Here is a 27,005-nt window from a genome sequence, read left to right as displayed (position 1 = left end):
TTATTTCTCCACTTTCTATTCTGTTCCACTGGTTTGTGTCTGTTTTTATGCCAACACCATACTTGTTTATTATAGCTTTGTAATATACTTTGTAGCCAGGAAGTGTGATGCCTCCAGCTTTGTTCTTCTCAAGATTGCTTTGGCTATCCAGGATCTTTTGTGGTTCCATATGAATTTTAGGATGTTTTTTTCTATCTCTGTAAAAAAAATATGCCATAAGGATTTGCACAGGGATTGCATTGAATCTGTAGATCACTTTGTGTATTATGGACATCTTAATAATATTAATTATTTCAATTCTTGAAGAATGTTTCTCCATTTATTTGATTCTTTTTTAGTTTCCTTCATCAGTGTCTCATAATTTTTATTAAATAGGTCTTTTACATCTCTGGATAATTCCTAAGTATTTTATTTTCTGTTACAGATGTAAACCCGATTGTTTTCTTAGTTTCCCCTTAGCATAGTTTGTTGGCTGGGGTATGCTAAAGGAAATGTACCGAAGGATGTAAGGGGGACTGGGCTACGTGATTAGCCATCTGTGTTTGTTAATTGCTGGTCATCTGAAGGCAAAACAAATTTATCATATGTTAAGGACAGGAGGCAGTTTTGCAAATGAGAGCAAGGTGGGAGATAGCTCTTTTGTAAACTGGAGCAACGTTGAGGGAGCTAGCTCTGCTGTCTCAGTTCCTGAGCCTACCCACCCTCAGGAACTGAGGCAGGAGAGCTCTGTCCCTCAAAGTTGGCCTGTAAAAGAGACGGCTCCTAGGTCTGTGAGGAGCCATTTCTGAGTGGTAGAAGATTTATATCTCAAAGGGGCAGGGAAAAGATTTATAGTTGCTAGTTCTGTAAAGTAAATGCTCTAAGAAAATGGAGGTCGGGGCCTAAACTCAGGTTTTCGCTGGAATGAAGAGTAAATTATTTTGTCAGCATTGAGCTTTCTCAGACAAGGACTTAAGTGGGGCTGGGGTCCTTATCCTAAGGGTGTGCCCTTGAGCTGTTAGGAGCTATACTAGTGTTTGCTCAAGCCTCCTAGTGTGGGGAGTGGACAAAATTGTTTGTGGTGAGAGTGTAAGTTCTCAAAGGCCTAGTCTGAGGCCTACTTGAGAAGAGGGCTCAGAGCAGCCTGACTTGATCTCCTTGGTCAAGGAGAGTCTTTATCAGTACTCTCTTCTTCTCTCTTCATGTAACCTGCTGATTTCCATATTTACGGCACAAACGCTGGCCTTTTCCATGACTCCAAACTCACATATTTGAATAGTCACTTGGATATTTGCTTGATAGTCTGTAAGCATCTGAAACTTAACTTGGCCAAAACAAACCCGTTGATTCCTAGCCTGATGCATCCTTTCCCACTATGAACTTGCTCTTGCCCCACTCTTTCTGCCTTAGTGAATAACACAGCCAATCATCAAACTTAATCTGGACTAAAACCTCGGAAAATTTTCCTGTATCTTCCCAATTCAACCCATCAGTACACTCTCCTGGCTCTACCTCCCTTGGTCTACATCTCACCAGCAACAACCAGCTGCTCAGGTACTGAGAATGAAGTAGGTCTAGATTCCTGAAAAGTCCTGCCAGGGAGAGCGGTATTTGGACTAGAAAGCCTTTATGGAGAGCGAGAGCTTTTTTTTTTTTTTGAGACGGAGTCTCGCTCTTTCGCCCAGGCCAGAGTGCAGTGGCATGATCTCGGCTCGCTGCAAGCTCCGCCTCCTGGGTTCAGGCCATTCTCCTGCCTCAGCCTCCTGAGGAGCTGGGACTACAGGCGCCCACCACCGCACCCGGCTAATTTTTTGTATTTTTAGTAGAGATGGGGTTTCACCGTGTTAGCCAGGATGGTCTCGATCTCCTGATCTTGTGATCCACCCGCCTTGGCCTCCCAATATGGAGAGCTTTTTAAAGGGGTGTCTTGCAATATGTCTGTCAGGTACAGCTTAAAGTGGTAGTTTGCTTTCTATTTACAGTAGTCCCCCGCTTATCTGCAGTTTTGCTTTTTGTGGTTTTAGTTACCTGTGGACAATTCAGGTCTGAAAATATTAAATGGAAAACTCTAGAAATAAACAATTCAGAGTTTTTAAACTGTGCACTCTTCTAAGTAGTGTGACAAAATCTCTCACCACCCAAATTCATCCCACCTAGGATGTGAATCACCCCTTTGCCTAGCATGTCTGTGCTGTAGACACTACATGCCCATTAGTCACTTAGAAACTGTTATCAGATTGACTGCTGCAATATTGCAGCGCTTGTGTTCGTCACCCTTATTTTCTGTGTATAGAAGTATATTGTTATAATTTTTCTATGAGCTTATTGTTGTTAGTCTCTTACTGTGCCTAATTTATAAATTAAACTTTATCATAGGTATGTATGATAGGAAAAAACATAGTGGTATATAGAGTTTGGTAGTATCCACGGTCTCAGGCATCCACTGGGGGTCTTGGAATATATCACCTGCAGATAATGGGGGACTAAAGTACATTTGTTTTATCTTAACAGCTTATGAAGAATTTCACCCTGGTTGGCTGACTTGTAAAGGCAGGATTCAGGCATCCCAGATCCCTGGTAAAAATACCATCTTATAAAAAATTCAGGGTTTATGCTTAACAATCTGCAGGGTAGGTTTAGATTGTGAAGGGCCTTGAGTGTCTGGCTAAGAAATGAGCATATTGGTTCTTTTAAAACACATCAAGTTCACTACTTCTGCTTAACAATCTTTAATGGTTCTCCCTGTAAATACTGTTAAGCAGAAGTAGTGAACTTATGTTTTAAGAGGTGATCCTGACAGTGCTTAACTGAACTAGAACTTAAAAGTCCCGCCATGTCCCATTCCCCGCTGTGTGTCTTGGAGTAAGCACCAACTTCTATCCTGCTTAGTTTCCTAAATCACTGTTCATTTCATGTCTTTTCCCTTGGGCCCGTCTTGCTGGCTGCATAGCGGAGGGAGGGGACAGTCCCGTTCTGCTCCAGAAGGCCAGAGTGAAGGCGTTAGATTTGATGACTTCTAAGGATTATTCCAGGTCTGACTCAGTGAAAATAGTCTTCATAGCACTACACTGTAGACTGAATTACAAAAAGCTAGAGCCGAAAGGGAATTTAAAGGTGATACTTTCCCTGAGATTACAGAATTCTGATGGTAACTTCTCCCCCCACAGTATACATCAATAATGGATGGAGAGAAAGACTTTTTCCCCCACTTTGAGTTTATACGGTTTCTAGGCTATTTTTAGATTTCAAATCCTAATAGTTTGAAAAAGGGAACAGGCAAACACATGAACAAGCAGCTCTTATAACTTCTTGGTATCTTTCTCTTGATCCCTTTTGCAGCCCCTCTTTCTAAAGCTATGTGTTCCCAGGTGTCTATGTGGGGCCAGCAGCTTTTCACAAGTCACAAACCCTCTCTTCCTTGGGACACGCTCATTCATTTTCAGTTTTAATTGTTGTCAGTATGCTTTTGACTTCTGAATCACTACCAAATCTCTGAATTCCAGGCCTGAATATTCAACCTCATGCTAGTATATGTTACTTGGATGCTCCCCAGGCACCTTAAATTTAACACATCCAAAACAGGACTCATGTTAGAGTCACTTCCTCAGGAAGCAGAAAGGCTGGTGTTATAACGACGATGGAAGCCCTATAATGTTGGGCAAGGAAGTTTGGGTCCTATTGTGTATAGGAAAGTCTGAGAAGTATTTTAAGTAGTGCTTCCTACACTTCAGAAAGATGTATGTGGCAGCAAAATAAAAAATTGGAAAGAGTGCAGACTAGGGACAAGAGGCTACAGCCATAAAAAGACAACCCCCCAAAAAGTAAAGATTCAGAATATATATTTCTCCAAAGAAGATATACAAATGGCCAAAGAGCACATGGAAAGATGTTCAACATCATTAGTCTCTAGAGAAATGCAGTTGCCAAGGCCTGGTGGGGAAGGGGAAATGTGTGTCTGGTAAGGAGTATGCGGTTTCTTTTTGAGTGATTTAAGTGTTCTGGGATTAGATAGTGGTGATCAGTGTTTCATATTGTGAATATATTAAAAGTCACTGAACTGTACGCTTTAAAATGTGAATTTTATGGTACGTGAATTATATCTCAGTAAAGCATTTTTTTTTAAAGAAGCCTACTGTGCACTGAGTTGAATGTGCTGGATCCCTAATTTCAATTTCTTTATTCATTTAGATGACTTACAATGATCATATTTGAGATGATTACTTTTTATATTTTCTTGCGGTATTAGGGAATTGAATGGTATTTCTAATTTCAGATATACAAAAGTTGATGTCATAATCAGAAGTTTACTAGTTTAAAGCTAGTTGGTGAATGACTACTGTCAGCTTTAAGTCTGAATTTCAATGTTCTCATCTGTCAAACATAAGCTTTGAATGAACCTGACTCTAAGATTCTTTCAGCCCTTAAGTCTCTTGAATCAGGAATTCTACAAGTGTACAGCTGTAACCTTTATGCAGGTGAGGTAGGATAAGAAAAGCAAAGGGTCAGCAAATACAACGGTGCAAAAGGTATTATGGCCAAAACCAGTGAGCAAGATGGGGGACATATGAAATTATAAACCAAATGCTCCCAGATTTAGCCTTGTTCTTAACTACCAGACTAGATGGTGCTATCTTGGACATCTTTTGCTTGACTTCACATCCTCTAATCCTCACATATCCCTTCAGACCCTGCTGTGATAACAATTTCCACACGGACTCTGACTGCCTCATGGAAGTGGAATGGCAATGCTTGCCTGCTTGCTGTACTGCTGTACTTCCTGCCTTCTGGCACAGGACTTCCCTGAGAATGAGGTATGGGAAACTTGGGGTAACAGCTCAGCACTCAAGCACAAACAGTCCAAAAACGTGGGAGAGTTAATGACCACAGGGCCACCTTCAACCATGAACAGAAGCCAAATAATAAATGCTTTCCCAATTTTTCATCCCCTGGGAAGTTTTGAGATTATTTTTATGAGACTCCTTAGAATGTCCAGTGGAATGGTTATCCAGGCACCTCAAGTGAGACAATCAAGAAATCCTCTTAATCGGCTTTTTCTGCTTCCATGTTAGATCAATTCCCAAAGTAATACCTCCACGTACACCTTGTCTCAGGCTCTGCTTTAGAGAAACCTAGGCTAAGACAGTGCCTTCGTAAGAGTCTGCATCTGATTCAACGTACAGGTAAAAGGCTGAATACAGCAAAACTAAGAGGCAGAGTTTGATGTTCCACCTTGCCTCTGCTTTTTCATTCATTTGAACTTGGCACTTGAGATCAATAATTTTATCAGATGAGAGAACAGGTAACAGGATCACAGCAAGTTAGAGTTGGAAGGAAAGTATATGGGATAGCACAGCAAACACAGTGCTCATTTTGTACCCATGCAAACAGGTTCAGAAATGTGGAATGGCTGGCCTAAGACTGCAGAGCTGAGGACTGCCCAGTTGCCTATGTCCCAGTGTAGTGAACTCAAAGATGATTATTAATCATTTATTGAATGCTTACTCTGTGTCACGTAGGCGTGGCACAGGGAACCTCTTCTAAGTGGTTCACTTACTCCTCACAGCTAACCTCGGAGGGCAGAACTTACCATGCTCACTTTACAGATGAGAACTTCACGGATCAAAGTTCAGTCATTGGCCTAAGGTCACTTAGGTAGTGGTGGTGCTGAATTTGTGAACAACAGCCTGAGCTCCTCACCGCTATGCTACGTTGCCTAACAAAGGAGGTCCCTGAACCACATTTAGGCTATGATGCACATCTTTGTAAGTGGTAGAATAAGCAAATCAGGTGGGGATAGGGTACTGAGAGTATGTGTGTGTGTATATATATATATACATATATATATATATATATATTTTTTTTTAAGAGCTGCTTTGTGTAATTTATAGGACAAGGAGGTAAGGTTGAAAAGACAATCATTAAGACTGACACAGAGATGGCAACTACACTTTCACAAGCACACACTGTGAACTTTACCTTACTACGTCTTGTCATTGTCATGACTAGCAGTTATCATTCTGATACTTCCAATGTACATGGGAACGAATTCACTTGGCATACTGATTTTTACTAAAGCTCTTCAGTTTTTGTTTTTGAGATGGGGTCATGCTTTGTCACCCAGACTGGAGTATAGTGGCATGATCCTAGCTCACTGCAGCCTTGAACTATTGGGCTCAAAAGAAGCAATTCATTTTTAATTTAAGCAAATATTGAATAAATTTAATTAAATGTAACAATAGCTATAAAAATGAACTTATATACAAATAATCTATGTTTTATTGCTGACATATGAATTGCACAGTGAATTTTTACATTTCAAAAACTAACTTTATTGCATTTAATACAGATATAAGCACGAATAAGACAAATTAGTTCCATTTTCAGACAGGAAGAAAAACATTTTGGGTAGGGAGAAGTTAATTGCTGGTAAAGTGTAGTAGTATTATTATTCTAAAAGATAATGAGTTCAGAAGTATTAAGGAAATATGTGTGTGTGTACGCATAGGTATTCAGGTAAACACCAATAACAATAAAACTCTATAAGCGGTCACAGACAACACAAGTACAGGAGGAACATTTAAATGTTAACCAATGTCATGAAAGAAAGAGTGATATAAGCAATTCTATACAGCAAAAAGAGAATGATTAACAATTTATTGAGTTTTATTTATCTACAAAAATATAGCAATACAGTGAACTTCACCAAATCCTAAATATTCAGTACCTGAACTGGCTACAACACCGTGTGCACACCCAGTTCCTGCAGAATCTCTTGCAGATATGGGAGAGTCAGCCAGTGAAAAGATCCATTTCTTGGGAATCCTTGTCAACAAGACCAGTTCAGAAATCCAGGATATATAGAAGCCTACTGTAATTTAAAAACAGTAACAAAAACCCCAACAAAACCCAAATCAACAAAGACCAAGATAAAGGTGTGATAAACATTAATTGTAATGGTTTTCCTTTACATGCAATACATGCATTTTAAAATCACTAAGAAACACGAAATTTTGTAGAGCAAAGTTTGTGTTTCACGTAAGTGCAAATGAATATATATTTTATTTTTTATACTATTAAATTATATATATTTTTTCCATACAAAAGCACACAGTGTTAATCTATAAAATGACATCCAAGTGGATGATGATTGTTTTTGCATGTCCCCCTGCTTAGATTTTTTTAAAATATATAGTCAAAAATTAACATCCTTCTTTAAAAATACAGAAGGAAAAAAGGGCAATTAAAAAAATACAACTTGGCTTTACGGACTGGTGAAGCATTTTTCCTGATCAAGAGGCAAAGTTCCAGTGACAGCTGCCACAGGGCCCTTTAGTCCTCCAGCGGTAACGACTCCACTGTCACTCTGAAACAAGTCTTGCTGATCTACTTATTTAAGAAGCAGCCCAGGATCTTTCAGTGTCATTTCATAGGTTTCAATGACTAGACTGGTTTTCAAGATGTTGCGCTTTTGTTTAAGTATTCAGAAATTTTCAAGTATGCTTGTCCTATTATCGTTTCCTTACTTTTGTCTGTTTCTACTAAAGGTGCCCAAATAGCCATAAACACAAACATCCCATTCTTCACTGCAATTTTTTAAACAAAAACAAAAGCCAAAAATTAAACTGTATTCTAGGCTACAGTTTTTGATATGTATGCTGTTTTATGTAAAAAGAAATGGAATCTGAAAAGATAGAACTATAAACAGGTGACTTTATAAAAATGTCCTAAGAGAATTTTATGAGTTACAAAGAAAGCTGTTCATTTTACCATGTGATAGAATTCACTAAGATGTATGTAATGTTATGGGTCTGTCAGTGTTATGTGTAGAGTGCACCTGTGATCTTGGTAGCTGAAATCAAAAGCAGCTTAAATTGACAAACTTTAGCACACTTGACTGTTAAAACACAGGCAGCTTTTCAAATATAATTGATTCTAAACAGATGTATACAAGTCACAGTTCAAATCTTACAAATTAAAAGTCCATCTGGAGAATTTTTTGACTATGAGGATTTAAAATAATATACAAATGTAAATAAATGTGCTCTTAATAGAAATCAAAATGTACAGACTCTTCACAGGTGAACTAATAGCTGTTTTAAATGTCTTTTTTCTGCACTAAATATATATCTCATTTAATTAATGGAGCCACAGCAAAATACTACTATAATTTCAAAGCACAGCCTGTAAACTAATACATCTTATGATGTAAAAATATTGCACAGTTTGGTACTCCAAGAGTAAGCTCTACACTTCTCAAGCAGAATGGTCAAACTCTTGGCAGGAAACACAATATTACAAGAACCAGACAATTTAAAGTATGGCGTTTTTAGGGTTATATTCGAGGAATGCTATTCAACAGATGTCCTATTATTGTGAAGAAGATGAGGAATGCCTATCACATATTATTATAGTAACTGAATAGCAAGGTGCCTATCCCAGCTTATCTAAAGCATGGGGACAAAAAGCCACCGAACAGTTTTGCAGTCCCAGGACTAGGAATATATTTAAATGTATCTGCCTTTGCAGAAAACAACAACAAAAATTCTACATCTAAGCGGCTGTGTAGATGTTTAAGAGATAAACAATTTATACAGTTTCAATCCTCTGAAGGCTTACTTTTTAAAAAACATTACATTTGTGAAAAGTTTAAAACATACTACTTAACAGTGGAATAAAGTGAAACCAAAACATGTTCAACTTAAAAAGGCAACAGGAACCTCAAAGCAAATTAACATGGCATAAATCTATCTTTGAAAGTACTCGAAATTATATATAGCTCCAAAACTTCTAATATGGTATGCCAAACATTTGGTTAAAGATATGTTCCATCATTATTTTCAAGAAGTATGTTAATACACATTAAGTAAACCCTGAAAGCTCAGCTTGGCCTTAATTTTTAGGCTTTACAAATCATATCCTGAGGTCTTCATGCGCCGATCAGTACACACACAGATCTGGAAACTTCATCTCATAGACTGGGACAGATTGGTATTGGGCATGCCCAGAAGTAATGGTCAGTGTTCCTGATGGACTGGGAGGAGGACTATAAAAGAACAAAAATACATTGTCAGCAGGTGTACTTACAAGCTGTTCATTTCACCGAGTATTCTATCTACTATCTGCGAATATCAAAGTCAGACTCCTTAATTGCAGTGATCAATGCCATTGTAGTTACTGGCCAGCTACAAGGCTGCATGGGAAACAGACTGCAGTAGTGTCAAACTGTTTTTAAGTCTAAAGCAGACATTTTCCTTGGAAAATATGTATATACAATTTTAAATGCGATTATACTCTACCCATTCTTGTGAGCTTTGTTTCATTAGTAAAAAATTATTTCATGTATACAGATATTATCTTTTTTGATGACAGAATGGTATTTCATTATATATATATATATATATATATATATATATATATATATATATCTCATACTTGATTTAATCCAGAGAACAAATGCAGGTTCATTTTCATTTTTTCATCATGATAAATAATGTTAAAAAGTCTGTTCTTATACATACATAATTTTATTCCGACTGATTGTCACCTTGGTTTATAGTCTTACAAGTAGAATTTCTGCATCAAAGTGTACTCAAAATGTTGACTTTGGTACATACATATTGCCGGAATACCAGCAATTTACACTTTCAGCATTTCACTGTGCCTTTTACACTGTTACAAATATTAGATATAGTCAGTCTTTTTAAAACAGCTTTGCCAATCTGAGAGGTAGGAGATAATTCATTCTTATTTTCATTTTTAAATTCTATGTTACTATTAATGGTAAGTATCTTTGTAGTATCCATTTTACATTTCTTTGAAAATGTAAACTGCCTATTTAAGTCCACTGCCTCTAATCCTACTCAGATATTTTTCTCTTATCAATTTGGGAAACTAACCTTTTGTCATATGATACAGATGCTTTCCTCCAATTCATTATTTAATTCTCAACTTTTTTTGTTGCCAAATGCTTAAAAGCCTTACCAAAAAAAATCAATTATTTCCTTATAATTTTTAGTTTTTTAGTTATGCTAAGAAAAACTTTCCCTCTACATCAAGATTACAAGAAATACTCCTGTATTAATTCTAGTGTTTTTATGTATTTTTCTAAACAATGAGTGAAGCTGTCTACCTTGGCAAAAGAAGTGAAGTGGAAAACTTCCCCCGACCCTTCCTCGCTGGTCAGTAGTGTTCAGCAGTTGTCCAAATGAGATCAACTCAACAGTTGCCCTTTTCTTTGAAAATCTGAAATCTTATCTTTACCACAGATACCTTCTATACTTGAATTTTCCTCTCTTCCACTTACCCATATGCAGGTCCAATCTGGTGTAAGTACCAAAGATCTGTCATATGTTTTTCTACCAAGCAAGGCAAATACTCCCTTGTTTCTTTCTACAGCATTTTCCTGACTGCTCTTGCATGTGGATTCTTTCACATTGACCTTAGCATCATTTGTTCAAATACTTAAAAAAAATTATCTTACTAAAATGATAGCTTAATCTACAGAAAACTGACATCTATGTTAACTTCCTATTCAAGAATAAGATGTTTCCATTTATATAAATATTCTTAAGCATATTTCAGAGATATATAGTTTCTTCATGTAAGTCTTATATACTTCTTTGAATTTATTAGCTCATGGTTAAGAGTGTTTTCATTTTAATTAATAAATGCACAGATATTAATTTCATATAATTATTTTTAACTGCAAACTGTCCTCAATTGTTAAGTTATTCAGTTGGTTTTCTTATATTTTCCTGGTATATCTATTTTTGGTAACTAACAATTTTGCAATTGTTCCAGTATTTACAATACACTTAAATTTTTTATTAAGGGATAATTTTCACAGAATGAAATAAACTGATCTTAAGGGTACTGTTTGACAAAAATTGACAAATGTATACACTCATGTAAATCACACCCATGTAAATCACAGCCCAATAGAGATAATGAACACTTTCTTTTTTTTTTTTTTTTTTTTTTTTTTTTGAGATGGAGTTTTACTCTTGTCACCCAGGCTGGAGTGCAATTGTGTGATCTTGGCTCACTGTAACCTCCACCTCCTGGGTTCAAGAGATACTGAACACTTTCAATCACCCCCAAAATGTTTCATGTCCCTAACCAGTCAATTTCTCCCCACTCTGACATACCCATACACATACATCCACATGCAACAACTATGTTCTGATCTCCATCACTGAAGATTAGTGGTGCTTGTTCTTAAACTTCACGTAAATGGTCTATACAGGCTCTATGAACAGTCCAACAAACTGTCTTCTTTTATGTCTGATTTCTGTTACTTAATATGTTTTTCAGATTTACCCCAAAAATTGTGTTCCTTTTTATTGCTGAATAGTATTTCATTATATTATCACCATTTGTCTGTTCTCGTGCTAATGGACATTTGGCAACTATGAATAAAACTGTCATAAACATTCACATATATCTTTCTGTGAATATATTCAATTCTCTCATTTTATTGGGCACAAAATGGTATCTTAAATTTGCATTTCCTTGTTAACGAATGATTTTAAACACTTTTACACATGCTTATTGGCGATTCAAACATTCCTTTTGTAAAACAACTACTGTCTTGGCCACTGAAAATTGTCTTTTTATTTTTCAGTTGTAGGGGTTCTTTATCAGATATTGGTATTGTGTATACTGTATTTTCTGAGTTTGTGGTCTGCCTTTTCATTTTCTTACTGGAGTCTTTTAATGGTAAGTTTTTAATTTGGATGAAGACCAATTTACCAATTTTGTTTAGTACTTTGTGTGTCCTAAGAAATCTTTTTGCTCATTTTAAGACTGAGAGGACTCTTTCCTATGTTTTCTTTTAGAAATTTTGATTTTAGCTTTTACATAGACATTGATTACCCAACTTAATAATTAATGTTTGTGTTTGGTGGAAGGTAGGGATTGAGATTAGTATTTTTCTTTTAGCTTATCTAGTTGTTCCAGGACATTTGTTGAAAATATTTTCTTTTCCTCATTAAATTGTTTTGATTCCTTTATCAAAAATCACTTAAGTTTTTGATAGGACTCTCCATTCTGTTATCTTGATCTCTTTGTGTACTCTTATACCAATAATGTCTTGACTACTCTGGCTTTATAAATCAAGTATTGAAATTAGGCAGTGTAAATTCTTCAACTTTATTTTTCCTTTTCAAAACTGTTTAGCTACTCCAGGTCCTTTGTACTTTCATCTGAATTTTAAAATCAATTTATACGTTTTTACAAAAAAGTCTGTTGGGGTTTTGATTGGGATTTTATTGAAGCTACAGATCAACTTGAAAGAAACAGCATATAAACAATATTTAATCCTTCAGTCCATGAACATGGTATATCTCTCCTTTGTTTAGGTGTTAATTTCTCTCATTCATGTTTTATATTCATAACAGAAATCTTACATACTGTTAAATTATGGCTAATTTTTTTAATGCTATGTTTAAAAATTTACTCTTGCAATTGTTTGTTGTTAATATATAGATATACAACTGAATTTTGAATACTGACCTTGAATACCCTGAATCCTGTGACCTTACTAAAATTCATTTAATTCATGTATTAACTCTAGTAGGGTTTTTTTTCTTGATTACTTACGATTTTCCACATACACAACCATGTCATCTGTGAAAAGATAGTTTTATTTCTTCCTTTCTCATCTTTATATTTTTCCTTTTTTCACTTTACTTACCTAAGACTTTCAATACAATGTTGACATGGTGAGAGTAGACATCCTTGACCCAGTTTTAGGTGAAAGGCATCAGACTTTCACCATTATACATAACATCAGCAATAGATTTTTTTATAATTACTCTTTATCAGATTAAGTTCCCTTCTATTCCAAATTTTCTGATAATTTTTGTCTTAAATGAACATTGAGCTTTTTCAAATGCTTTTTTTCCTACTGGTGTGATCATGCAACTTTGCTTTCTTACTATGTTAATGTGGTGAATTTTGCTGACTGATCAATTTTCTAATGTAAAACTGATCTTGCTTTCCTCATAGTAACCCCATTTATTTAGGCCATATCATCAGTTTTATACATTTGCTAACATTTTGATAAAGATTTCTGTGACTATATTCAGGAGGGGTACTTGTCTATAATTTCATTTTTCTTAAAATATCCTTGTCTCATTTAAGTGTTGAAGTTATACTGGCCTCATGAGTTAGAAAATGTTTCTACCTCCTTTGTTTCCTGAATATGTATGAAACTGGTATTATTTCTTACCTAAATGTATGATAAAAGTAAGCAGTGAAGTTAAATGCATTTTCTTGTAGGATGCTTTTAAACTGCAAATCTATTTCAACAGTTATAGGGTTATTTGGATGTTTTACTACTTTTTGTGTCAATTTTAGTTAGTTTTGACTTTCAATAATTTTTGCTCATTTCATCTAAAGTGTTGAATTTATTGTCATAAAATTGTGTATAACATTCCTTTATTATCTATAATTCTTTTTTATTTGTAATATTGGTAATCTGTGTTTTCTCTCTTTTTCTTCCTTAACACTGACCAGAGGTTTACCAATTTTATCAACCATTTCAAAGAACAAACTTTTAGGTTTGTTAATATTTTCTATTGTTTGCCTATTTTCTGTTTCATTGACTTCTGATATACTTAGTTTAGCTTATGTTGTTCTTCTTTCTCTAATGTCTCACCAAAAGTCATTAATTCACTGCTTTCAGATCTCTCTTCTTTGCAAGCAAAAGCATCTAAAGATATAAAATTGCTCCTGAGCACGATTTTAGTTTCATCTTACAAAACTTTGATAGGTATTTTCAGTTTAAAATGTTTTCTAATTCGTCCTGTCATTTCTTCTTTGAGGTATGGGTGTCTTTTAATTTCCAGATATTTGAAATTTTTCTAGATATGTGTTAATGCATTATACTTTTTTTTGTGGCAAGAGAACATACTCAATATGATGTCTTAACATGTCAGTTTCCTGACATTTACTTACACTTGCTATAGTCCCACATCTGTCTATTTTGTGAATGTTGTATGTGCACTTCAAAAGAATCTATATTCTGTATTTGCCTAGCATTGTGTTTTCTAAAGGCCACTTAAATTGACTGAAATGGTTCAAATCTTATATCCTTTCTGCATTTTTGTCTTCTTGTTAGTTATGTTTTAGTACTCTTATGAGAGGAACATTAAAATTTGCAATTATAATGCAAAGAAACAGGAGACGATCGTGAGAATAAGCAATGTCACACACATTTCTCTCCAAACTATATGTATCTTGTCCTTTAAATTCTTTGACGTGTGTGTGTGGGGCCTGGGTGGGGGGTGTGGGTGTGTGGTGTTCTAAGGGCCTTTTCTACTAATTCCAATAACTGGGTTATCTGTGAGGCTGCTTATTCTCACTGTATTTTACTGCTTCTTTGCCTTTCTTGTTTTTTTTTTTAACCATACTCAGGTATGGTTAAAATGTAAATGAAAGAACAGTGGGAGCGAAGTATAATATTGTGTTGTTCTGTTTCTTTTATGGAGGATACAAACTCTTTCCACTGTCTGATGGTTAGGGTGAGGCAAATTAACAAGAGAAAATGTACCAGACAGGACCTGAAAACTCTGAAGACACATTTCTATAAAGTCTATTTAGTTTCTCCATAAGCTATTCCAGAGCTACTGCTTCCTAAATAGGTGACCCTGTATAAGTTACCTAACTTCCATGTATGTCTGTTTACAAACATGTAAAATGAGAATAATCACTATCTGTTTGTTAGAGTCTGTTGCAGATATTAAATAAAATAATACATTTAGCACAGTGCTTAGAACAACATAGGTGTTTAAAAATGTTAATTATTAGTAGTAACTGTTCAATGAATGTAAGTATTAGTAGTAGTTGTGGTACCAATGAAACAGAATTAGTTATAATACTTATTCTAAAATATTAAATTCATATAGTTATGTTAGTTTGACTAAATGTGATATGGTGATCTCTAGCAACATTCCTTTTAAGAACATCAGTTATGGATTTGAATTTTGACTTTGCCACTCATTAGCTGTATGCCCTTCAGCAAATTATTTTACTTTTCTCTAAGCCTTGGTGTCTTCACCTGAAAAATCAAAAAAATAGTGTCTACCTACCTTTCAGGGCTATGGTGAGGATTAGCAGAAATAATAGATATAAACCATGTAGCATAAGATCAAGTACACAGTAGACATTTACTATTAAATGTTTGACATTTAGTCATCAAAGAAGTAAATGCCCACACCCAGCAATTTTAATTGAATCCTAAGTCTAGCACAACAGTCGCCGACCTTTTTGGCACCAGGGACCAGTTTTGTGGAAGACAGTTTTTCCAAGGATGGGGACTGGGGGGATGATTTCAGGATGAAATTGATCCACCTCAGATCATCAGGCATTAGATTCCCATAAGGCGCATGCAACCTAGATCCCTTGCATGAGCAGTTCACAATAGGGTTCCTGCTCCTATGAGAATCTAATGCCGCGCTGATCTGACAGGAAGCGGAGCTCAGACAATAATGTTCACTTGCCCACTGCTCACCTCCTGCTGTGGAGCCTGGTTCCTAATAGGCCATGGGCCAGTACAGGTCTCTGGACTGAGGGTTGGGGACCCCTTGTCTAGCACATATTGAATATTTTAGTCTGATTTTCTGTTCTTAAATTTTGTAAATGAGTGATTCTCAACTTAAGAGAGTATAGCAGGAATGGGAGGGAAATGTCTAGAGTAAGATATATAATGACAAAAATGTGCCTTGCTTATGAAAGCAGAAAAAAGACTGAAACAAAAAAGCAAGTGGCCTAGAGCATTTACCTGTCTCTAATATTAATATAATACAGGGTTGAAGAAAAACAGACTTAATTAATCAAGTTAAAAATATGAAAGATATGCCAGATATAGAAAAAATTTCCAGAAGCATAGACATCTCTACTGGCCACCTCTCACAAAGGCAGGTTTCCACACTGAAGTCAATGTAAGACTATGTGGAAGTTCCTTCTTTAGATGGAACCTAGAGTTTGCCTCTCCTTCCTTCAGGTGCTACATTTCTTATTAATGTATAGACATAGGATAATCAAAGAGCATAATAATTCACAACAGAACTCAAATGAATATGATGTACAAAAACTAAAGGAAAGTTCAATAATTCAAATGAGCTATCTGCATAAGTAGACTTATTACTGCCCTGAAAAGAACCATGAGGCTGACATATTAAAATGCAGTTTCTGCAGGACAAAACGATTCAATATGAGCAATTTCCTAATTAAGCATAATATTAGAATATGGGTCTTTTTTAAATTACCCAGATGTACTTAAGAGATCATCAGGAAGGAATGAATAATCTAAAAAAGAAGCTAAAAAGCTAGAGGACAACTAGTCAAGAAAGGGTATCAGACTCTGCCTAAAAAACAGAATCACTATTAAGCAAAGGATCACCTATATGATCTTATGTTAATCCTAAATGAAAAGCATTACTTTAACATGATAACTTAAACATAATGAACCACAAATTCATAGGGGTCTGTCAGTTTCTATTCGTGTGTGTGTGTTATTGCTATTGTGATAACAAAACCCTTACCGTATGGTGAGTTCCAATATTTGGGCAAGTCTATCATGAAGCAAATTTGCCTGCAAAAAAGAAAAAAATGTTAAGAATGGTTTATTTTCTAGGTATCTATATATAATAATATCAATGTAACTTAAGAGACAAAGTATAATTGTGACTATTAAGCTGATTAATTATTAAGTACACAATGCTTTAAAGTTTTGGTTTGATCTGTCTTATCTATTAGAATTTAATGTAAGGGTTGTCTTTTTTTCCCTTTCCTCGTCTCAATGTTAAAAACATATCAACAAACACATAAAACAAAATACCTGCAGCAAAATCATGGAAAACCACTGCAAAAAACTATCAAAACAATAACAATCACTAATACTTAATTTGGGAAAACAGTTCCACTATTTCCATCAGCTTACATCATACAAAGAAATTATTTAGGTCTCATAGATATGCCTTCAGAGTTTCAGTCCTTATCTGATATATTTTCCTGTGTTCCGTTGATTTGACTAAAGCTTGGAACTTATCAACTAATCACCAAGGAAGAGTTTCCACAAAACAACAGTCCACCCACAAGCCCTTCACCGTTTCTTCACTTACTTTGGATTCACACTGTGCTGCTATTTCTTCAAAAGGTGCTTTCTGAAATTTCTCTATCACAAGACGCCTCTTTTCCTTTTCCTGTTCTTCCATTCCACTGGTATCTATACAAATATTTATAAAGACTTATTAAAGGGAATACATAATTTCACAGAACCCAGTCAATGACCGTTAAGAGTTAATGATATATCATCCAAAATTAAGGGCAATTTACAGGGCTTCTATAAGAAAAAAATAAAAAGGCCTAACATCCATGAAATGTCTTGTTTAAGGCTAGAAAGCACACACACACAAAAACCCAAAAAAATCTAAGGGTTAAAACTACACATCACAAGATTCTCTTTCACAGAATGCCTTTGTCTCTCTTACCAAAAAATGGCAAGGGAATGGGAGCTTCCTACAAGTCGAACTACTTCACAGTCCTTCCTGAAGGATGATTCTTTTATACAACTACGTTCTTGCACATACGAGGTACTACATAAAATATTTGCTAAATTGAATCTTGGTACTGAGTGGAATAACTGAAATAAGAATGGGGTCATTTGGAACCATGTTGTTGTAGCCTTTTCCATTTATTTACCACAATTTGGAAAGGAATTTTCTTGGTCTTATGATGACGTATGGTCTGGCCAAAGTTTGTGAGAAAGTAAATTAATAAATGTCTTCTTTTATATCACTGCCATAATTGTGTCTGTTTGTTCAGGAATATGACCCTGAAGGGACAAGACAATTCTGAAGCCTAAAACATGTAGCTAAATAAATGATACATGTCTATAGAAGCCAACAAGTTTCTTTGGTTTATTTTTGTAATGTCCCCTCTACGTATTCTGTCATCGAAAAAAGCAGCAGATAAAGATAAGTTAAATATTGGTAGTACTAACAAGTGCAAAATATCTCACCAATTGCTTTCTTCAATGCTTCAAAAGTGATTTCTTCAGTGTTACTAACCTAGAGAAAAGTGATAAGTGAAATCGAGAGTTAAAAAGGGTCAATATAAATAACACCTTTACCTAGTTACAAGTCATCTAAGAAGTTTTTCAGATTTGTTTTCTTCTTTGTGTTGGGTCTGAGCTGTGAGCTGTGATTATACTCCACAGTACCAAATAATCTCCACTTTTTCATTGGTTCTAACAATGGCTTACTGCAGTGGTTCCCCAAAACAAGTCTATAGATTAGCATTAGACTGCAATAATTAACATACCCTAGGCAACAAAACCACCCTTGAATTACAGAACTCAGTCCCAGTACTGTGATGTACAAGAAGATTTGAGTCCCACTGACTGAACACTGTGTTGTAAGTAAACAATGCTCTGAGAGAGTGAAGGCTGAGATTATACATAAATACATTTTTAGCCATGTGATAAAAAACAACTAAGTACTTTACAGCCTCTATGATTTTGGTACCACACACAGTTTACAAATCAAAAGGAAAACTAAGATTTTAAATGATTTAAAAGTTAGAACCACTACTTTGGGAAGTATTTCTCTAAAGTTAACCACCAATTTATAATCTCTGAAACTATCCTTTTAACTTATGTCTTTCAAGTCTCTCTTGCTTTGAGATACATAAAAAGGTATGAAATCAACCGCTTTATGATAAAAGTCAGTAATACATTTTATGGCATCAGCACATTCTTAGGATAAATAATATATCCAGTTCCTATAGTATCTCTGAATAAAAATTAAGAAACGATACATGAGTACTTGCCTGGGAATCTGGTCATCCCTAATTTTAGCTCATGAGCTTCTTTTGCTAAGTCTAAGGCAGCAAGACTAATGAAAGCAAAAGACGTCATTCTCTGCACCTTAGCTTCTCTGCAATACAAAGGCTTTAGCTGGAAATCAAGCAGCAAGAGTTCCACTCCCTCAGTTTTGCTACTGAGCTTCATAGTTCTAGTTGAAGTCAGATTAAACTTGGGAATCTTCTGTTGTTTTGTTCTAGATATTCGGAGCAGACATGTAAGATTAGGCTCTGGCTGGTCAATTATTTGTACTTATAAGCATTCTAGTACTTCAGTGAAAAAAAGAAATTGCTTTTGTTCTTAGAACTGGCTAGGAGCTTCTGACTTTTGAGACACAACTACAGTAGAGGAAAAAGAACATGGGAGAAGTTAGAAGGCCAGCATTCTTGATACATATAATTTTTACTTATCACCTGTCAATCTCAGGTAAGTAAAGAGCTAAAATACCTTACCCTACTAACTCTTCACTTTTTGTCCCTGTTTGCCTTAATTCAGATAATTATGATGCAGCTTCCTAGCATCAAGAACCCCCAAGTCGGCCAGGCACAGTGGCTCACGCCTGTAATCCCAGCACTTTGGGAGGCGGAGGCGGGTGGATCATGAGGTCAGGAGATCGAGACCATCCTGGCAAACATGGTGAAACCCCGTCTCTACTAAAAATACAAAAAATTAGCTGGGCATGGTGGCAGGCGCCTGTAGTCCCAGCTACTCAGGAGGCTGAGGCAGGAGAATGGCGTGAACCCGGGAGGCGGAGCTTGCAGTGAGCCGAAATCGCGCCACTGCACTCCAGCCTGGGTGACAGAACAAGACTCCGTCTCAAAAAACAAACAAAAAAAGAACCCCTAAGTCATGCCATCAGTGTCTACATTTTTTCTTTTTTTTAATGTCTCCTTTCTTTAAATCCCTTTAAGTCATTTGTTGGTCCTATTCATTCTACTTTAAAGTAGAGTACTCCTGCCCTCCTGTCCCTCTTTGTTACCTCCAGCCTGGCTACTCTAGATCCTCATTCCATCAACTGTGGATTATTACAAGGATCTCCTAACTGGCCTCTACCTCCAGTCTCTTCTTTCTAATTTAGCCTTGTCACACTTGAGAGATTCTTTTTATGAAAGCACAACTCTAATAATGACACTGACTAAATTTCGGTGTTTACCTACTTCCTGTGAAGTGACACAGAAAGCCCTCAGCCTGGTATACAACTTTCTATAATTTTGCTTCAATCTTATCTCCCACTCATCCCTTTTGTGGATCTTTTTTTTTTTTTAAGACTAACTGCTTTATACTAGCATTTAATGATTCATATTTTTATATACCATAGCTGGTAAATACAAGCTACGTACTTTATTTGGTGAGCTACTAAACTATAATCTGTTCCAACTCTATAGAGGGAAAACTGGTTATGTTGGAGTTATAGAGAAGTGGTGCAAAGGCACCATCCTAAAGGAATTTCAACATTCCCTTTATAATCTATGACTTTTGCTTTATCTATGATCTACAACACTAACCTAGACTATATAATGCCCTTGGGCCTACATAAAATCTGCCATTCATCTTTTTCTAATTATAGTAGTTGCTATGTCACTACTACTAATATAGTAATTTGATAGCATCTAGCACCACAGAGTGTGACTAATATTGACTAGATGCTAGCATACACACAAGTTTCTCCAGTTGCATTTGGGGAAAAAAGGCAGGAGTAGATGGATATAAAACAAAGATCTGTTATTTGTAATAGAAAAAACAACAATCTTTTACAGTCAACCAGTGACTTAATTTTATATCAAAAAATTTAACATATACTCAAAATTTAATATATATAACATCCTGCCCATGCCCTTAAATAATCAAGCACTTACTATAAGCTTTTAGAGAGAAGAGTAGTGTGGTGATTTCAGGTTTTACTCATATCAGTTATGCATATATAAGGAAGCAAAAAATCATGCCTATAGTGCTTTATTCTATTAGTCAAGCTGATAATTTTATCTCAGGAGACAGAGATGCCTCTGTTCTATTTTAGTCATTTATCTTCTTGAATACGTTAATTTAAATTAGGTATCGTTATAAAAATGTGTGTGTATACACACATATATGCATATATATGTGTAGTGTGCATATATATGCATTGGGAAGCATTCGTCTAAAGTCAACCACCAATTTATACTCTCTAAAAATACCTTTTACCTTGAGTCTCTCAAATCTCCCTCTTGCTTTGAGATATGTAAAAGGTATAAAATCAACTGCTTTATGATAAAAATATCAATAATACATTTTATGGCATCAGCACATTTTTAGAAGAAATAATGCATTATTTAGAAGAAATAATAATATACATCTTTTTATATATGGCAACTTTTAGAAAAAGTTCACCAAATGATTCTCAGTAGGCCAAGGTTGGAATTGCAAATGTCAGAACTGGCAGATCTCAAGTGGATCAGGTATTTCAATAGACTAGAGTAACAATTTGAGTTTAGGGAAACAGAAGTTTGTTATGGTCTCCATCTAAACAACCTTCTGACTCTCTCTCTTTTTTTTTAAATTATAAGTTTAAAAAGCAAAAGCAAATACATCTCAGGATAAACTAGGATTATACATATAAAACTATAAATAATTTTGATCAAACAAAAAAGTTATTTTTTATGAGCAATGTTCTTATCTGATTCATTTTAAGAAAATAGTTTGATATTCTGCTGCACCATTAACTGGTAAAATATCTATCTGATGTGAATTTCTCCTGTCCATTATATGAAAGTAATTAATTAGTTTTAGCCTAGAAGATAGTATTATTCTGTCTTCTGGTATTTGAACAAACATCTCTAATATCCAAAAGCAGATTCCACAATGGTAAATGAATCTGAAACTCAAATGTGCTCAAGCAAATGTGACACTAAACTGTACTTAACTTTTCAGATGCTTGGTGTGAGGCATATTTGACTTAGGACTTATAGTAAATGAAAAACAACAGGATCTTGTAAAAGTTAATAAAAATATTAACAGACTTTTAATGTAAGATTTGTGTCAAGAATCTTTCCCCTACATTGAGTCTTTATGCAAATGTTTTTTCAGTTGATTTTATCAAAATAGACTGACTCTTTCCAACAGTTTCAAGTGTTCTCTATATATTTTTGAAAGAAGTAAGAATAGTTAACAAAAGGAGAAAGGTGAAAATACCAGTCAATAACACATAGTGTCCCCTTAACAAAATTAAGTTTATAATCTAAGACTCTGGATGAATTTCTTCCCTAGAAAGGTAATAGTGGCAAATTCATAATCATTAAAAGACAGAACTAGCAAGATACTCTTCTTACTGGTAAGGAGTGTATAAATTAAATAGCTCTGAAGAAAGAGGTGAATTTGGGAAAAGTTGTTATTAAGCCTTAAACTGGTAAGAAACTTTAGACTTAATGCGTTGAGTTTCAAAATGAACACTAAGTGCTTCTTCAACTACTCTTGATGCCGTGCTGATAAGTTCTTAATAAAACATAACTTCTATGTAATGGGAAGTTGAATGGCATAGAAAACATAAGTCAGTTGGCTGTACTCTGGCCACCAAATAGGTTTAGTACCTGAAGACAAATAAATCAATAGGAATTGTAAGGGGGTAGGAGGGAGGCTTGAGAAAGCATAATTCAGCTAACTTCCTTTCCCTTTCCCTATATGGATATTCTTTTAATTATGCATATTGTACCAATGAGAAATAATAAAATACTTAGGAAGGCAAACAATGGATAAACCACAAGGTGGAGGTTGACTTGACATGCTGGCATTTTGGCATTTTTACTTGACTATGAAAAAATTCTCTGGTGATTTGTGTAGAATAAGTCCTAGAGAATACTGGCTGCTTTTTCCCCTATAAGTCAGGAGGGTACACTCTTGTGCTTTTTTGAAACGGGAGGAGAGCATGAAATCTATGATGTTTTAAATAAGCCACAGTCCTTACAGAGTACATAGTTCACTGACACAGCTTAAACAACATCCTTACTATCCAAAATAATTAAAACATTTTCCCTTATAGATGCAGTTTTAAAACTTTTCAAAGGTAGTCAGCATTTGGCTTCACATGAGGATGTATAGTTCTATTTATTTCTGTAATTTGCATTTCCTAAATTTTTAAAAATAAGTAGGACCTAGAGGGCCCACTAATTTAATGACAGGCTTTGTATAAAGTTTCTTAGCAAAAAAATCTTATACTTTACAGTTCCTTTTATTACACTAAATTATAATGTGAAATCTGACATCATAACATATAATGTTAGGTTTATATATCTTTACAGACAGCTGAAATGAGTTCAGTAAAATAAATTATAAATAAATTCAAAGCTAAATCAGATTAATTTCTACTAATAATTTAGTTGATTTGAGGATAATTTAGAGTTGTATTTCCTCCTGTTCGAAAGTGTGGAAGGCAAAAAATTCTTTTAAATGATGTCTACCAAGACAGTACTCTACCATAAACTTTCAGTAACTTACCACATCATCAGAAGGAACATTGTTGGATAAAATATCCACCTGAATGGATACGGTGTCCACAATGCTTTTTCTTCTAGAAAGTCGATCTTCATCTAAAATAAAATTGTTTTCTTCCCATTATTTGCTAGAAATGTTATGTTGGTTTTCATTTATAAACTCTACTTATTTCAGATTTCAAAAACTGTCAAAAAATTCAGACAGTTTGTCTTTTTTGTTCCTTCTAAATACATAAAAGCAGCGTGTTCTCGGACTTTTACATTTCGTGAAGCAGATTAAAAAGTAAAATTGATGAGGTGAACTGAAATAAGGTTATCGGATTTTTATTTTTCAAAAAGGGGCATTTAGGACAGCAACATCAACAACCACTACCAAATAGTTTAATTAAAAAAAGCAAGTCAATGTAACAGCAAATGAAGGAAGTACATAATCTAAACTTAATACATTTAGCCTAAATGAAAACTGACAATATTGCCCTTATATCTCTAATATTTTCACGAAACAGTGAAAGCTGTCAGCTAACTCTGGTTCTAGGATGACAGTTTGGGAAGCAATGTCTAAAGGTGTTTACAGTGCATTACAATTTGTGGGCTGAAAGAATTTGCTGTTTCAATTAATATCTCCTCCAGCATTGTCCATTCAGTCATCTCCATCAGCTGTTGTTATTTTGCTTTATAATTTGACCACTTCTCCAGAAAGATGTTGTCTTTACCTGAGTGCTCTAGCTAATCTACTTTTGTGCCCCCAATTCATTTGTACAGTCTGAACAAATTGCTCTGATTTTTCACTACTGACTATGCTGAAGTCCTGTAATTATAATCCCAACCCCAACCACTCTTCTGACAGCGCTTTTAAATAAAATTCCACGGTCTTCCAAATCACTAAATTCAAAAGCTATTCCTAGCCCATTTTCTGCTTAACCACTTCATGAACATTTGAATTTGTTGATCATAATGTCCTTACATACCTTCTTTTCTACTTCTGTTTTTCTACTTTAGCATTCAATACTCAACAAATCTAGGAAGTGATTAGAGACCCTGTTAGGTGTTAGGGACAGTCTGCTGAATAGACATTACACATCCCGTGCAGCTTACAGTTTAACAGGAAAAATATACAATAAAATCACACAAATTATTAAAGTGTGATGAAAGTACAGGATGGTAGGAAAATATCAAATAATCATGATTACAGTCGAAAAAAGGAAGTCACTTTGTGTATTCTAACATATAGAATTAGAGGCTGATTCAACCCTTGGAAAGCTGAGTGAGTAAAAGTTAGGCTAGCCATCGGATAGTCTCAGTCTGCAGCATGGAGATGGTAATTCTCAAGAAGCTCTGGAAGCTTCTAGTCTGATCTCCACCCATTTGAATGCTACACTGTCTTTCAAAGATAATAGTTTTTCCTCTTCTACTTGCAAATTTTTCTGAGTGCTTTTCATTGTCAGTCTCTGATTCTGAAAAAACATAGTTCCAATTTTTCCTTTATGATACAGAAGAGAATTCAGAAAGGGTGACAATGATGCCAAGCTGGCTACTGTTCTACTCCCAGTCCTAAAAAGAATGTACTCACCCAGGTCACATCCCAGGACTTCTAACTCTCTCAAAGAGTTCCCAGGTACTATTAGGGTTGCAGCTGGCACCTAGTAAGTACTCCATAAATACTTGTGTGACTGAGCAGGATTCCGGCACCTCCTTTTCTGAGTTCAACATTTCCAGTTTCTTATTAATCAATTCTATTTGACATGTTCTAAATCCAATTCCGCATCTCTAAATAAGCCATCTTTATCTCCACATTGTCCTATTTATTTTCAAGAGTGTCATCGTTCAAAATCTTCATCTTTTCTTACCTAAACTCTTAGTATAGCTTTCAAGTGGGTCTTCTAGTATGTTTCTCCCTTCTATACTACCAATAGAGTTTTCTAAAACAGATCATTTTCAGTCCTAATTATAATTGTTAAACAAATGCAGCCCACTGCTTAATGCAGAGTTCCCAAGGTTTTCTACCTCACTGCACACATTAAATTATAATGCATGCATGGTACACAGAGATAAATGGAAGGGCCTGCTCATATTGCAGGCTCAGACTGCCCCAGGCCCTCTCCAGCTACCTGAAGAGCTAAGGAGAACAGTACCCAGACACACCTATAATGTTCCCCCAAAACAGTAGGGAAGCTCAGGTCTAGAATCAGTGTAACAGCAGAGTTACTGTATCATGTGGCAACACTTCATCTTTCTCTCTCTTTTTTTTTTTTCTTCCTGAGACAGTGTCTCTTCTCTGTCACCCTGGCTGGAGTACAGTGGTGTGATCAGAGCTCACTGCAGCCTCAAACTCTTGGGCTCACGTGATTCTCCCATTTTAGCCTCCCGAGTAGTCAGGACTACAGGCATGTGCCACCGTGCCCAGTTAATTTTTTTTAACTTTTAAGTTCAGGGGTACATGCGCAGGTTTGTTATACACATAAATTTGTGTCATGGGGGTTTGTTGTACAGATTATTTCATCACCCACATATTAAGTCTAGTATCCATTAGTTGTTTTCTGGATGCTCTCCTTTCTCCCACCCTCCACCCTCCAACAGGTCCCAGTGTGCATTGTTCCCCTCTATGTGTCTGTGTGTTCTCATCATTCAGCTCCCACTTACAAGTGAGAACATGTGGTATTTGGTTTTCTGTTACTGTGTTGGTTTGCACACGCCTATGTTCATTGCAGCACTGCTCACAACAGCAAAGACATGGAATCAACTGGCTAAATTTTTTGTTTTAACTTTTTGCAGAGATGGGGTATTTTTTTTTTTTTCTCAAGCTGGTCTCAACTCTTGGCTTCAAGCAATCCTCCTACCTCGGCCTCCCAAAGTGCCAGGATTACAGGTGTGAGCCACTGTGCCCAGCCTATGCTCCATCTTTCTAATCCCATTCTGTATATACTGTGATTTTACTTTCCTGAAGGGGCAAAGAATGAAGAATTAACAGCAATCAGCAAGAAACTGGTTTCTCTCTTACTGACAACTCCTCTACTCCAAGACAGCCTTCCATGGTTGTAACTAATGCTGTTAGTCAATATTACAGTTTGCCCCTTTCTGGGGATGTGACAGGATTGCAATTTCTGTCCTCTCTGTGGTTAGGAGGGGTTCTGTAACAAGTCCTGGCCAATACAGTATGAGTAATGTGCCAGACAGTGGTAGCTCCATTAGCTTGGATTCCAGAATGTGGATGATGTATAGTTATGTACAGCGAGTCTGAGCAATAAATAAATCTTTACTGTTTCAAACCATTAAGAACTTGGGGTTGTTTGCTACTATAGCATAACCTAGCTAGGGTTTCTTAACCTTGACACTATGGACATTTTTGGCCACATAATTCTTGTTGTGGGAAGCTGTCCCTTGTATTATAAGATGTTCAGCAGCATTCCTAGCTTCTATGCACTAGATGCCAATAGGCCTATCTCATCTCTCTCTGTCCCAGTTGTGACAACTAAAAATTTCCCCAAGATTGCAAAAGTCACCCTTAGCTGAGAACCAGTAACTCAGTCCATCCTATTGACAGACCTTTCTACAATTTTACCTGTATGTCACCACCATGTTAACTAAGCTTCTTAAAACACTAACCACATAACTTCCCAAGCCATGCCCCCCAAACTGCTTGTGAATTAAAAGGACATTCTAGGCTCTCTCATCAGATCTTACCAACAGTAACTTCA

The 27,005-nt window shown here is 35.7% G+C and overlaps 1 protein-coding gene across 11 annotated transcripts in view; it reads right to left on the bottom strand.

Annotated features, from left to right (window-relative positions):
• The window catches only part of EFR3A (EFR3 homolog A), a 109,550-nt gene continuing 88,714 nt past the window's right edge, over nt 6,170-27,005 (bottom strand). For 8 of the 11 annotated variants that reach the window (NM_001323555.2, NM_001323554.2, NM_001323553.2 and 5 more), the window contains 5 exons: nt 23,315-23,406; nt 18,005-18,053; nt 17,106-17,209; nt 16,527-16,576; nt 6,170-9,022 (listed from right to left, as the gene is read on the bottom strand). In NM_001323555.2, the coding sequence (NP_001310484.1) occupies nt 8,917-9,022; nt 16,527-16,576; nt 17,106-17,209; nt 18,005-18,053; nt 23,315-23,406 (401 nt within the window). In that variant the 3' untranslated portion in view covers nt 6,170-8,916. Of the gene's footprint in view, nt 9,023-16,526; nt 16,577-17,105; nt 17,210-18,004; nt 18,054-18,813; nt 19,044-23,314; nt 23,407-27,005 lie in introns of those variants that run through there. The other 3 variants (NR_136615.2, NR_136616.2, XM_047421604.1) reach the window with 2 other exon arrangements.

This window comes from Homo sapiens, chromosome 8, assembly GCF_000001405.40.
Source record: "Homo sapiens chromosome 8, GRCh38.p14 Primary Assembly".
Taxonomy (NCBI): Eukaryota; Metazoa; Chordata; class Mammalia; order Primates; family Hominidae; genus Homo; species Homo sapiens.
The sequence above is the reverse complement of the archived record's forward strand: the minus strand, read 5'-3'. Positions and strand labels throughout refer to the sequence as shown.